This window comes from Homo sapiens, chromosome 14 (genome assembly GCF_000001405.40).
Source record: "Homo sapiens chromosome 14, GRCh38.p14 Primary Assembly".
Taxonomy (NCBI): Eukaryota; Metazoa; Chordata; class Mammalia; order Primates; family Hominidae; genus Homo; species Homo sapiens.
Window position 1 is genome coordinate 45854953 of NC_000014.9, and position 14852 is coordinate 45869804.

The 14852-nt window shown below is 35.7% G+C and overlaps 1 long non-coding RNA gene across 1 annotated transcript, besides 1 other annotated feature; it reads left to right on the plus strand.

Moving 5' to 3' along the window:
* The first annotated feature begins 438 nt into the window (after positions 1-438).
* LOC105378177 (uncharacterized) lies at positions 439-2090 on the plus strand. Its single transcript, XR_943825.2, has 2 exons — positions 439-502; positions 921-2090. It is a non-coding gene; the product is annotated as an uncharacterized LOC105378177 (long non-coding RNA).
* Positions 13414-13693: an enhancer, noted in NCBI's record as "active region_8307". NCBI's record gives its function as "activates an Ori minimal core promoter by ATAC-STARR-seq in GM12878 lymphoblastoid cells {active_cell/tissue: GM12878}" and the evidence as "EXISTENCE:reporter gene assay evidence [ECO:0000049][PMID:35858748]".

Here is a 14852-nt window from a genome sequence, read left to right on the forward strand (position 1 = left end):
AGTGTGAATATTGGGTCTGAAAATAAAGGTGCTAAATTACTTCAGACCTTAGTTGCTTATAGTAGCCTCTAATGATCCTTTGAATTTCTCTGGTATAATTAGTAATGTCTCCTTTTTCATCTCTGATTTTATTTATTTGGCTCTTCTCTCTTTTTTTCTCAGTTAGTCTGGCTAAAGGTTTGTCAATTTTGTTTTATCTTTTCAAAAAATAAACTTCTCATTCCATTGATATTTTGTATTGTTTTCTTCTTGGCAATTTCATCTATTTCTGTTCTGATCTGTATTATTTATATTCTTCTACTAAATTTGAGTTTGATTTGCTCTTTCTTTTCTACTTCTTTAAGATACATTGTTAGGTTGTTTATTTGAAGTTTTTCTACTTTTTTTTAGTAATTCTTCAGAACTTCTCACTTAATATTTACCTCCTTGTAATGGTTAACTTTATATGTTAACTTACAGGTTGTTTTGGGGTGAGATAAACATTTAAATTGGTGAACTTTGAGTAAGTAGCTCTCTATAATATGGGTGGGGCTCATCCAATCAATTGATTGCCTGACTAGAACAAAATGATTGGCATCCTTTCGCAGGAAGGTATTCTCCAGCCAACCGCCTTTAGTGAGGAACTGTATTTACCTTCCCAGGCTGTCCTCCAGCTCCAGCCTGCCAGCCCATGCTGCAGCTTTTGGACTTACTAGTATCCATAATTATGTGACTAATTGCATATAATCAATCTCTCTCCCTCTTTCCCTAGACACATACGTACACACACACACACACACACACACACACACACACACACTCATTCTATTGGTTCTGTTTCCCTGCAGAACCCTGACTAATACATCCTTAGACCCTTTTTGATTGGTTATTTCTGCTTTTATTCATTTACATTCCTTAAAATCTCTGTTTTGTCATTGTAGGAGGAAAATTAGAAGACAAGTATCCTCATTTCCACCTGGATCCAGTCTTTCTTCCTTATTACTTTTATTAACAATATCAGTTAAGGTTTATATGGATGTCTTGCTTTGGCCTGTACAAAAAACTACTTTGTATATGCCTTATTTTATTAATTTTGCTTCTGAATTTCATCAAATTCTCTGATCATAACTCTATATTCTTGTAAGGAATGCTCAGAATTATACTATTTCACTCCAAATTTTATTATTATTGAGACGAAACTGGGTATAGAAAGTTGTGGGACCAGTTTGTAATTTATTGCTTTAAAATTTGGTCAAGCCACTCAAATTCTCTAGCTGTACCTATGAAATAGCTTTAATATTTCAATCCCCTGCATTTTCTTTGAATAATATGGAGTTTGAATTGAAGTGGTCCTGAATTTGAGTGCTGCATATGCTACTTTTGAGATATGTGATCTTGAGCAAGTTGCTTAATCACATTAAACCTCAATTCTCTCATCTTTAAAATAGAAAAAATAATAGCTACTTTACAGTGTTGAGAAAAGAATAAGATGAAACAGTTTATTAAAAACATAGAAGAGTGCTTAAGACATAATAAAGTCTACATAAATTGTGCCTATTGTTATTACTAATAAAAAAAAAAGAAATTCTACGTGTCAGGAATTTGAACAAATTACAGCTGGATTTGCATATTTCTTCCACAAGATGTATGTGGTCCCATCTGATAATAGGGAATTGGTTGGTAACTGGAATCTTCTTGGAAACCTCTTAAATCACAGATCTTGCACTTGTACTGGGATAATCTGGAGTGTGTGCTCCTCTGAGTTTGTTGACCAAATCACCTACAGGTGAACTCTCCATATATGTATTTTCCTAGTCAATTCCTACACTGACCTCAAGCAAACACTGATCAGCTTTCTGTCATAATAGATGCGATTTACTTTTTTAGAATTTAATAAAACTCAAATTATACTGTATGCATCCTTTTGTGTCTGGATTGCTTTTTTTTCTCTGCCTTACATTGTTGAATATATTCTAGGTATGTTTTACTAATTGCTTGGTTGTATATTAATGCATACTGCATTTTGTTTATCCATTCAACTATTGATGGAAATTGGAGTTGTTTTCAGTTTCTGGTTATAAATAAAACAGCTATGAACATTTACATACCAAGTCTTTGTGTGGATATGTGTCATTTCTCTTTTATTTTGTTTCTCAAGGTCACCTTATTTTCTGCGACCATGCCAAACACCCTTACTAATTCTGCTAACTTATTTCCATAGAGATTTCTATATGCAGCATCATTTTGTCTGAAAATAGGGAGAAGTCTATCTCTTCCTTTTCAATTAATTTTCCTTATATTTCTTTATCTTGCTTGATTGCACTAGTTATGACTTTGAGTACAACATGAATAGGTATGATGAGAATAAATATTCTTCCTTCTCAATTTTAGGGGGAATATTCAACAATTCATATTAATTATAATGTTAGCTATATATTTTCTTGTAATGATGTTTATCAGGTTCAGAAAATATCCATTTATTACTAGTTTACTAGTATTTTTATAATGAAGGGTTATTGCATTTTGTCATATTACTTTTCTCTTCTTTTTGAGACATAGTCTCACTCTGTCACCCAGGCTGGATTGCAGTGGCATGACCACGGCTCACTGTGACATCTGTCTCCGGGGGCCTCAGCCTCCCGAGTAGCTGGGACTAATGGCACTTGTCACCATACCCGGCTACTTTTTGTATTTTTCATGGAGATGGGGTTTCACCATGTTGGCCAGGCTGGTCTTGAACTCCTGACCTCAAGTGATCCACCCGCCTTGGCCTCCCAAAGTGCTGGGTTTACAGGTGTGAACCACCACATCCAGCATTGTCATATTACTTTTCTGTATTTATTAGATTAATATGTGGTTCTCCTTTAGTCTGTTGATTGAAGTTGAGCCAGCCAGCCTTGCATTCTCAGGATAAACTCCAGTTGTAATAAAGTGTTATCCTTTTTATATATTATTGCGTTAGGTGTGTTAGTATTTTGTTAAGAACTTTTGCATATATATTGAAGAATGTTGTTCTATAGTTTTCTTTTTTGTAATGTCTTTTTCTGCCTTTGGTTTTTAGATGTTGGATTCATAAAATTATTTAGGAGTGTTTTCCCCTGCTTTTTCTCATGGAATTAGGATAGTATCCTATTATTCTTATTTAAATGCTGACTAGGATGCAGCATGTAAACCAATAGACTGCAGTTGCCTTTTGAGGAAGGCTTTAAAGTTCAAAATAAGTTTTCTTAGTACATAAGAGCTGTTCTAAATGAGAAAATAAATAATTTTCTCATTTATTAGTTTCGGTAATTCCGATGTTCCATGAAATTTTCCCATATCACTTAGGTTTTTGAATATATGGCCATAGGTTTATTCATAAATTTCCGTTATTGTTCTTTTAATATTGGCAGCATCTTTTGTGATGTCCATTTTATCTAAGTTGTTGAATTTATTGGTACAAAGTTGTTCATAATATTTCTTTATCATCTTTTGTCTGTATGTTCTATAGTGATGTGTTAATTTCTTTCATTCTTAACACTCATACTTTGCACCTTATTTTTTAGTTCTTATAATTCTAGCTAGAGCTTTATAATATCTATTGATTTTTTAATCTTTTATCTCAGGTTTGGGAGTACATGTGCAGGTTTGTTGCACAGGTAAATTGTGTGTTGCTGGGCTTTGGTGTACAAGCTTTCACCCAGGTAGTAAATTGTACCTGATAGGTAGTTTTCTCCTCACCTTCCTCCCACCCTCAAACCTCAAGGTATCTCCAGTGTCTATTATTTCTGTCTGTGTGTCCATGTGTACTCAATGTTTAGCTCCCCTTATAAGTAAGAACATACAGTATATGGTTTTCTGTTTTTGTGTTAGTTTGCTTAGGATAATGACTTCCAGCTGCATCCATATGATTGCAAAGGACATGATTTCATTCTTTTTTTTGGCTGTGTATTATTCCATAGGGTATATGTACCACATTTTCTTTATCCAGTCTACTGTTGATGGGCATGTAAGTTGAATCCATGTTTTTGCTATTGTGAAAAGTGCTGTAATAAACATACATGCTTATGTGTCTTTACAGTAGAATAATTTCTATTCTTTTGGGTATATATCCAGTAATGAGACTGCTGGGTTGAATGGTAGTTCTCTTCTAAGTTCTTTGGAAAATCTCAAAACTGCTCTCCACAGTGGCTGAACTAATTTACATTCCCACCAACAAAATATAAGTGTTCTCTTTGAGAAGTGTTCAAAGTTCTACTTTGAGAAGTGTCTGTTCATGTCCTTTGCCCATATTTTAATGGGGTTGCTTGTTGATTTGTTTAAATTCTCTATATATTCTGTATATTAGACCTTTGTCAGACACATAGCTTGCAAATATTTTCTCCTATTCTGTAGGTTGTCTGTTTACTCTGCTGATAGTTTTGTTTGCTGTGCAGAAGATTTTTAGTTTAATTAGGCTCCATTTGTCAATTTTTTGTTTTGTTGCAATTGCTTTTGGAGTCTTTGCCGTGAAATTTTTGTCAAAGCCTATATCCAGAATGGTATTCCTAGATTTTCTTCTAGGGTGTTTATAGCTTTAGGTTTTACATTTAAGTCTTTAATCCATCTTGAATGGTTTTTGTATACTGTATAAGGAAGGGGTCCTGTTTCAGTCTCCTGCATATAGCTAGCCAGTTATCCCAGCACTATTTATTGAATAGGGAGCCATTTCCTCCATACTTGTTATTGTCAGTTTTGCTAAAGACCAGATGGTTGTAGGTGTGCGACTTTATTTCTGGTTTCTCTAACCTGTTCCATTGGCTTATGTGTCTGTTTTTGTACCAATACCACACTATTTTAGTTACTGTAGCCTTGCAGTATAGTCTGAAATTGGGTAATGTGATGCCTACAGCTTTGTTTATTTCACTTGGATTGCTTTAGCTATTTGGGCTCCTTATTTGATTTTCTATGGATTCTAAAACAGCTTTTCCTAACTTTGTGAAATAAGTTTGGTAGTTTGATAGGAATAGCATTGTATTTGTAAATTGCTTTGTGAAGTAGAACTATTTTGACAATATTGATTCTTCCTATACATGAGCATGGAATATTTTTCCATTTGTTTATGTTGTCACTGATTTCTTTCAGCAGTGTTTTGTAATTCCCGTTGTATAGATATTTCACTTCCCTGTTTAGCTGTATTCCTAAGTATTTTATCCTGTCAGTGACAGTTGTGAATTGAATTGAGTTCTTGATTTGGACTTCAGGGATTTTTTTTTTTTTTGTATTTCTTTGGCATTGGTGGTAATGTCAACTTTGTCATTTCTGATTGTGTTTACTTGGGTCTTCTCTCTTTTTTATTAGTCAAGCTAATGGTCTATCAATCTTATTTATTCTTTCAGATGACCAACTTTTGCTTTCTTTGATTTTTTTGTATGGATTTTTGCATCTCAATATTGTTCAGTTCAGCTCTGATTTTTTTAAATATGTTTTCCTGACAGCTTTGAGGTTGGTTTGCTATTGTTTTTCTAGTTCTTCTAGGTGTGATGTTAAGTTGTTGATTTGAGAGCTTTCTAACTTTTTGATGTAGGCATTTAGTGCTATAAAATTTCCTCTTAACACTTCTGTAGTTATGTCCCAGAAATTCTGGTGTGTTGTATTTGTTGTCATTAGTTTCAAATAATTTCTTTATTTCTGCCTTAATTTCATTCTCTACTCAAAGATAATTCAGGAGTAGATTGTTTAATTTCCATGTAATTGTATGGGTTCAAAATATCTTCTTGGGATTGATTTCTATTTTTGTTGTGCTGTAGTCTGAGAGTGTGGTTGGTATGATTTTATTTTATTTGAATTTGCTAAAATTGCTTTATAGCCAAGCATGTGGTCAATCTTACAGTATGTGCCATGTGCCAATGAGAAGAATACATTTTCTGTTGTTGTATGGAGTGTTCCATAGATTTCTGTTAGTTCCATTTTGTCAAGTGTTGAGTTCAGCTATTTGGAAGGCTGAGGTGGGAGGATTGTTTGAGCCCAGGTGATTGAGGTGGAAGTGAACCATGATTATGCCACTACACCCTAGATCGAGTGACAGAGTGAGATCCTGTCCCCTAAAAAACATAAAATAAAGTAAAATAAAATCCTTAGGAGCAAATTTAGCAAAGCATGTGAAAAATATGTACACTGAAAACTATAAAGCACTGATGAAAGAAATTGGAGGATACACAAATAAATGAAAAGATAGCTTATGTTCATGGATTGAAATAATTAATATTGTTAAAATGCACATTACCCAAAACAATCTAATCTACAAATTGAATGAAATTTTGATGAATATTTCAATGTCATTTTTCACAGAAATAGAAAAAACAATGCTAAAATTTGTATGGAACGAGAAAGACCTTAAATAGGCAAAGCAATACTGAGCAAAAGGAACAAAGCTAGAAGCATCTTACTCTTTTATTTCAAAACAGCATGGTACTAGCATACAAACAGACACACAAGCCAATGGAACAGGATAGAAAGTCCAGAAATAAATCTAGGTATTTATGGTCAATTGAAATCTAGGTATTTATGGTCAAATGATTTTTTTTTTTTTTGAGGCAGTGTCTCGCTCTGTCACACAGGCTTGACTGCAGTGGTGTGATCATGGCTCACTGCAGTCTCAGTCTCCTGGATTCAAGTGATCCTTCCACCTGAGCCTCTTGAGTATCTGGGATACAGGTGCGTGTCACCATGCCCAGCTAATTTTTTTTTTTTTTTAGCTTTTGTAGTGATAGGGTCTCACTGAGTTGTACAGGCTTGTCTTGAACTCCTGAGCTCAAGCAATCTTCCCTCCTTGGCCTCCCAAAGTGCTGGGATTACAGGTGTGAACCACCACACCCAACCTGGTCAATTGATTTTGACAAAGATGCCAAGAACAAACAATGGGAAAAGGACTGTCTCTTTAATAAATGGTGATGGGGAAACTGGATATTCACATGCAGAAGAATGAAATTGGACTCTTATCTCACCCCATATTCAAAAATCAGCTCAAAATACATGAAAGACATAAATGTAAGACATGAGACAGTAAAGCTACTAGAAGGAAACGTAGGGAGACATCTCCATGATATTGTTCTGGGTAATGATTTCTTGGATAGGACTCCAAGAGCACAGGCAACAAAAACAAAAGCAGACAAATGGAATTGCATCAACCCAAAAAGCACAGCATAAATAAAACAAAACAAAAGAAACAAACAAAAAACCAAAAACACACTCCAACACAAAACAAAACAAAAAACAATACAGTGAAGAAACAACCCACAAATTGGGAGAAGATATTGGCAAACCATACATCTGATAAGGGGCTAATATCCAAAATATATAAGAAACTCAACTCAGTAATAAGAAAACAAATAACCCAATTAAAATGGGCAAAGGATCTGAAAAACATTTCCCAAAACATGAAATATGAATAGCAAACAGATATGAAAAAAATGCTAAACATTTCTAATCATAAGGGAAATGTCAATGAAAACCACAATGAGTTACCACCTTACACCTGTGAGAATGCTATCATCAAAAACAAATGGTAAGTAATGGTGAGGATTTGGAGAAAAGGGAGCTTTTGTACACTGTTGGTAGGAATGTAAATTGATACAACCATATTGGAAAATAGTGTGGATGTTCCTCATAAATCTAAAAATAAAATCAATAAAAGAAAAACTTCAGCAGAATTAAATTTAAAGGAGTTTAATTGAGTAATGAACTATGTGCAAATTGGGCAGCCCTTAGAATCACAGCAAATTCACAGAGACTCCAGTGGAGCCAAGTGGTGAAAGAAGATTTATAGGTAAAAAAGGGAAATCATGTACAGAAATTGGCAGTGAGGTAAAGAAACAGGTGGATTTGTTACAGGTTGGAGTTTGCCTTATTTGAACACAGTTTGAACATTTAGCAGTCTGTGAGTGGTTGAAGTATGGCCATTTGGATTGGCCAAGACTCAGTCATTGTTACAGGAGCATACTCCTAATTTAGGTTTTACTCTTGTCTGACTATTAAGCTAGGTTACAATTCATCCACAAGGACTCAAATATAGAAGTACAAAGTCCTTCTCAGGCCATATTTAGTTTTCCTTAACAGGATTACTATACGCTTCAGCAATCTCACTTCTGAGTATACATCTAGAGGTATTGAAATTAGTATATCAAAGAGATAGATGCACTCTCATGTTCATTACAACATTATTCACAATAGCTACCTTATAAAGCCAACCTAAGTGTCCATCAACTGATGAATGGATAAAGATGTGATATATACACAATGGTATACTATACAACTTTAAAAAAGAAAAATTTCTGTTACTGTTACAACACGGATGGAACTTGAGGACATTATGTTAAGTGAAATAAGCCAGGTGCAGAAAGACGGATACTATTTGATCTCACTTATATGTGGAATCTGAAAAAATTGATTTGGTAGAAACAGTAGAAAGGTGGTTACCAGAGGCTTGAGGGATGGTGGAGAGATGGTGGGGAAGGTGTTGATCAAAGGACGCAGAGTTTCAGGTAGACTGTAGGAATGCATTTCAGTGATCTACTGCATTGCATGGCAACCACATTTAATAATAATATATTGCATATTTCAAAACTGGTAAGATATATTGTTTATGCTCTCACTACACAGAAGAAAAGATAAATTGGTGAGGTGATGGATATATTAATTAGCTTGATTGAATCTTTCTACAATGTATACATAGATCAAAACACCACATGGTACTCCATAAATATAAAAAATTATTATTTGTCAATTAAAGAAAAAAGAAAATATGCATCATTACCATTGAGAAAATGAAGCAATTCCTTTAAAGACTGGAGAATGAAACATTTCAAATTATTTCCTGGTTATTTATTTATCCTCTTTCAAGCCATGTTTTCATTACTTATCAGTTTTTATTTTAAAATACATCTATCATTAATTTGTTATCTCAGTAAGAAAGGTGTTTATTATCTTTGTTCCCAATGTCCTGATTTAATATTCATTCTTGTCAAATAGTTTGGTCATGGCTCAGATGCTACTGTGAAATTGAAAAGAGTACAGCATTGTTCTGCTATGCTTTTGAAAAACTGTTGTATCTTTTATATTAGGTAAATAGACACAGTTCCAAAAGGGGATATAATTTTTATTCTAATTCTTTTCATACTGATGTTACATAAAGCATGTCCTGAGAGCCAAGAATGAACAAGAACTGCTTCTTAAAGAAGGAAGGATAAAGCAAGACAAAGACATCAAAGCCATTGCCATTACATTTTATCCTGAAAGAAACAAGAAATTACCAGGAAAGATCAGAATTCAACTGAAAGGGGTTACTGTTACAATTCCTACTGAGAGTTTCAAAAGGCAGCAGAAATTTTTCAGGGGAGGAGATATATTTATCCAATGGACAATGGGTCTGTGAAATTCTCTAGGTAATGCAAACAAAAGGCAGGGACTTTAATGCACCTACTGTGTACCTGATATTTTAAACTTCCATAGGGAAACATCTAACAATGCACAAAGTAAAAAATATCTAATGCCAAATTTTGAATAACTTTAAAGGTGCTTTCAAGATTCCTCAAAGTACAGCTTCAAGTTCAAAGTGAACTCAGTGAGAACTTGTTTCACTAAGAACCAACATCAGTATCAACCAGAAACAGTGGATTGTTAGGTCTAAGTTTTCCCATGGTGCCAAGCATTGAAGAAACATTTTTTGTTATTTTGTAACCAATACTTTAAAACTCCTGCTCTCAGTGTAAGGCACTGTTGTAGAGAATGTAGAAGATTCAAAAGTGTTTGAGGTAATTATTCTGCCCTTAGGAAAAAAAGGAGTACAAAATAGGAATTGTTGACATATTTAAGAATATTTATCAAAAAATTAAACACAATCAATGACTTATAATGAGAATTAAAATATACTATAGTTTTAGCTTCAAGAAATATTTTATTCTAACTGCATAGCTGATTACTCTTCTGCGATCTTGTATGAAAATTCCCCCCCGACCCCCAACTGCCGCCATAACTCGCCCTGTATTGTGTGTATCCTGGGGATCCCAGCACCATTGAAGAGCATAGAACAATTGTGAGCTCAGGCTCGGAATGAGGAACTTGGGTTAGAATACTTCCCTCAGTACTTGTGATTTGAACAGATCCCATAATCCCCCTCTACCTCAATTTTCTATTCTGTAAAGTGGGAATAATAAGGCAGAATTTACAACAAGGATTTACACTTGTAAAGCGTTTAGCAAATTGCCTAGCCATCATACTAAGTTGTGGTTTATTATTTTTTTTAAAAAAATAAATCAAATAATATTACACCTCTGTTTAAAACTAATTGGTTTCCACTGCACTTAGAACCAAAATTGCTTCTTAGCCCTTAAGATCACCTCCAATACCTTACAAAATTTGTCCTTCACTTGTCTTTCTTAGTGACATTTTGTACAACTTTTTCCCTACGTTTTGAACTTCCCAGGAATTCTAGGCTTCTTCCTGTAACCGGATGATGCTAAGCATCCTTCATCTAGGGATCTTTAAACTTGTTTTCTCTTCTAGCTACAAAAACACTTCAACAAGATAGTTGAGTGACTACTTCATTTCTGTTCTTACATGGATCATTTTCAGTTTTAGTATCAATGCCACTTCCTTAGTCAAGCCTTACTTGGCCCTCATATGTATGTACACTTGAAGTTATTATCTTTAATTATGTCCCTTTCAGTCACTCTTTATCTTCATTACTTCACTTAACAGTTAAATTCAACTTGTTTACTTATCTTTGTCTTCCTTAACTAGAGGAAGAACCCGTAAAGGAAGGGCTTTGTCTTTCCACTAAAATACTCTATCCCCAATTCCTGTAAAAGTGCCTCACACATAGAGATGTTCAAAAAAATTTCAGAGAACTGAACACATTTATTTTTATGGATGACAAGTCCTGTGCTGCCTAAACCTATCTCTGAAGAAAAAGTATATGAATAAGAATTATTTATTTTATTGATGGCATCTGGAATTTCAACATACTTTCTTTAAATGAATAAAAGTTTTGAATTTTAAAGTGTACTGTAGTTACATATAAGCATTGGGAGATATACTTAATGCTAGATGATGAGTTAGTGGGTGCAGCGCACCAGCATGGCACATGTATACATATGTAACTAACCTGCACAATGTGCACATGTACCCTAAAACTTAAAGTATAATAAAAAAAAAAAGAATGAACAAATACAGACAAGATTTACTTACACTCACTATTTGTACCTCAATTATAGACCTTAATTATTAAGTTATAATTTTGTATCTTAGTTATTACCTAGTTACTACGAAAAATTGAAATGCGTTTGGAGTTTTAAAATCATAAGTCCTGTACTTTATGTTCAGAAAAAATACTAACCCAAATGTTACTTAGACTTGAAGTTGAGAAAGAAAAGTAGCTGAGAGTGTTATTGGACTGAACTGGGATCCATTCACCCAGCACAGCAAAAACAAACATTGGCATCAGGACTGCAGCTAGAAGTGACGCATCTATTGCAAGGCATCAAGCAGTGAGAATCAGGCACCAGGGATGCTTAAGACGCAAATGCTTAAGACTCAAACTCCCTAATGCAGCAGTTCCCAGCTTTCTTAGCACCAGGGACGGGTTTTGCAGAAGACAATTTCTCCACGGACTGAGGAGTGGGGGATGGTTTTGGGATGATTCAAGAACATTATATTTATTGTGCGCTTTATATCTATTATTACTACATTGTCATATATAATGAAATAGTTATACAACTCACCATAATGTAGAATCAGTGGGGGCCCTGAGCTTGTTTTCCTGAAACTAGACGGTCCCATCTGAGGGTGATGGGAGACAGTGACACCTGAAGTGTGTTGCTTATGTCCAGTCTACTCTGTTATCTCATTGTGGTTTCTGTCACTGCAGAAAACTCTGCTTCAAAAAGAAAGAATGTTGGAAATGGAAGCAGGCTTTACAGTGCTTTTGTGGCAATCACAGGATATTCCTCCTTGATGATTAGGATTTGAAGTTGTCTGGAACGTACTTTTAAGGCCACTGTCATTTGTGATCTCAAGCAGTTGATCCTCTTCTGGCACAGGCAAAATCAATTCATCTGGCTTACTCACAAATGGGTCACTGATCCATTCTTTCCCAGTTTGGCAGTCTTTTGTGTTTGGGAAGTAATGTTCAAACTCTTTTGAAAGATGAGATAGGTGATCATGCACCAGCTAGGAGAAAGAAGGCCTTGGCTCAGTCTCTTTCAAAATATCTGCCAATGTTTGAAATTGTCAAATATTCCAATGTTCACTTGTCGCCCCCATAATTCCAGTTTGGCTTTAAACGCAGCCACTTTATCTGCTGACTTGAACACAGCTTTCATTCTCCCCTGAAGTGACAGATTGAGTTCATTCAGCAAGTTGAATATGTGACAGAGGTAAGCAAGTTTTGCAACCCATTCTGTGTCACTGAAATGTGCTGCCAGTGGTTACTGTTTTTCTAAAAATATCTCTGGAGCAGCTCTCATAACTCAAAAACTCTGGCCAGTGATCTACCTTTAGAAAGTCATTTCACATCTGTGTGTAAGAGATGTGTGTGCTCTGTGTCCATCTCCTCACAGAGCTGCGCCAACAGACATGAGTTAAAAGCATATACTTTAATGTTGTTGATAGTTTTAATAGCATCCTGCAAAATGTCATTAAGTTTAGGTGACATTTTTGGGGTAGCTAAGATTTCTCTATGGCAGTCACAGTGCACAGACTCAAATTCAGAAGTGACTTCTTTGATCTGAGTAGTGAAACCAGAAAGCCATCCAGCCATGGCAGCCTCTCTGTTCATGCATATACCAACACAAAATGACCAATACAGTTTTCCTAATATGTAATTATTCAAAGACTTAATAGTTCTGCAGCTGTGGTGTTGTTTGGCAACAAAAGTGCACAGAACATATCCTCATGCACATCCTCCTGAAAAATATATTGCATGAAAACAAACAAGCATTGTTGCCTTGTTGTCAATATCTATAGAATTGTCAACCTGGATTAAATACCACAGTGACTCATTAATTCTCTCTAAAAACTGTGCCTCAATATCCTCTGCTAGTTCATCAATTCATTTAGCTATGGTGCTAGATAAAAGAGGAACATGTGCCACCTTTTGAACTGTAGCCTCTCCTAACGTTTAACCACAAATGTCCTTAGCAGCCGGCAGGATGAACTCTTCACCAATAGGAAAGGATTTCTTAGCTTTAGCAATGCAGTTAGCCACTAGGAATTATGCTTTCAGTGCAGACACATTTGATGAAGTGGTGGTCTTCAATAACTGCTTCTGTTATTTGTGTTCACATTTTTTCTTTTGAAAAACTCCAAAGGCTTGTCTTTTATTGCAGGGTCCTTGGTCTCCATGTGACAAAGCAGTTTTGAAGGTTACAGGGCTTCATTGGATAGCCAGTTGTCACGTATTTTACAAAGTGGCCTTGGAGAATGTGAATCACCTGTTGCAATGAACCCATAATTTAAGTAGGACTTGGTGTTTTCTTTTAAATGCAGCTTTCTTTTTGTTGGCAGTCTTAGAGTCTTCTGCTGTCTCATCATTGGGTGTTTACCCCTTTTCAAAGAAGCTCTCCAGTGATGTTTGGTTCTTACTCATTTTGGCCAGAGTTAGCTTGTGGGAACCAAAACTGTGACTAAGGCAAGTGCACAGTGTGGGAAAGAGGCACAGATGAAAGTGGTAAATAAAATAATGGGTGGACCATGTCGAGACAAAAATGAGTATCAGGTTCTGACTTAAATCCTGCCACCAGATGCAGCTGTGAAATTGAAGTACACCAACTCACTTGCCACTATAAAGCTGCCACGAGATGCAGTTTAAATGCCACTTGCTACTCACTGATAGGGTTTTGATCTGTGTCTCCAAGCAATTGATTTATTATGGTTTCTGTGCAGTTAAAAATCTCTGCTAATGTTAATCTGTATTTGCAGCCACTCCCCAGTGCTGCATCACCACCTTGGGTCCACCTTAGATCATCTGGCATTAGATTCTCATAAGAAGAGTCCAACCTAGATCCCTTGCATTCGCAGTTCACAATATGGTTCGTGCTCCTATGAGAACCTAATGCCACTGCTGATCTGACAGGAGGCAGAGCTCAGGTGGTAATGAAAGTGATGGGCAGTGGTTGTAAGAACAGATGAAACTTTACTAGCTTACCCATCTTTAACCTCCTGTTGTGTGGCTCATTTCTAATGAGCCACAGACCAGTATTAGTCTGTGGTCTGAGGGTTGTGGTCCCTTCCCTAATGGCTCATTGATAAGGGGTTTCAGAGGCAGAGATGTAGAGGTTATAGGCAAAGTCATAATTCAATATATGGCAGCTATAAATTATTTTGAACTAAAAAGGTGGCATATCTTGAAGCAGAAAGGAGACCTACAGATTATAGGTGGAGTCAAAGATTTTCTGATTTTGCTAACCATGGAAAAGATTCGAGTTACTGGTGGCATATCTATACAGATCTGCAGCAACCTCAATTCTTGTCTCCTCAGAAGAAAGAATTTAAGTGAGAGGCATAAGAGAGAAGAAGATACCAAGGCAAGTTTCACAGCAGAAGTGGAAGTTTATTAAAAAGCTTTAGAGTGTAAGGAATAAAAGAAGAAAAGAAGGAAAGTACAGCTTGGAAGATGGCCAAGTGGACAATTTGAGAAACCAAGTGTGCAGCTTGATCTTTTGACTTGGGGTTTTATTACTTCCCTCTCCATTGCTGAGATCTATTTTTTTTTTTTTTTTTGAGATGGAGTCATGGTGTCGCCAGGCTGGAGTGCAGTGGCATGATCTTGGCTCACTGCAACCTCCACCTCCCGGGTTCAAGCAATTCCCCTGCCTCAGCCTCCTGAGTAGCTGGGACTACAGGCATGCACCACCATT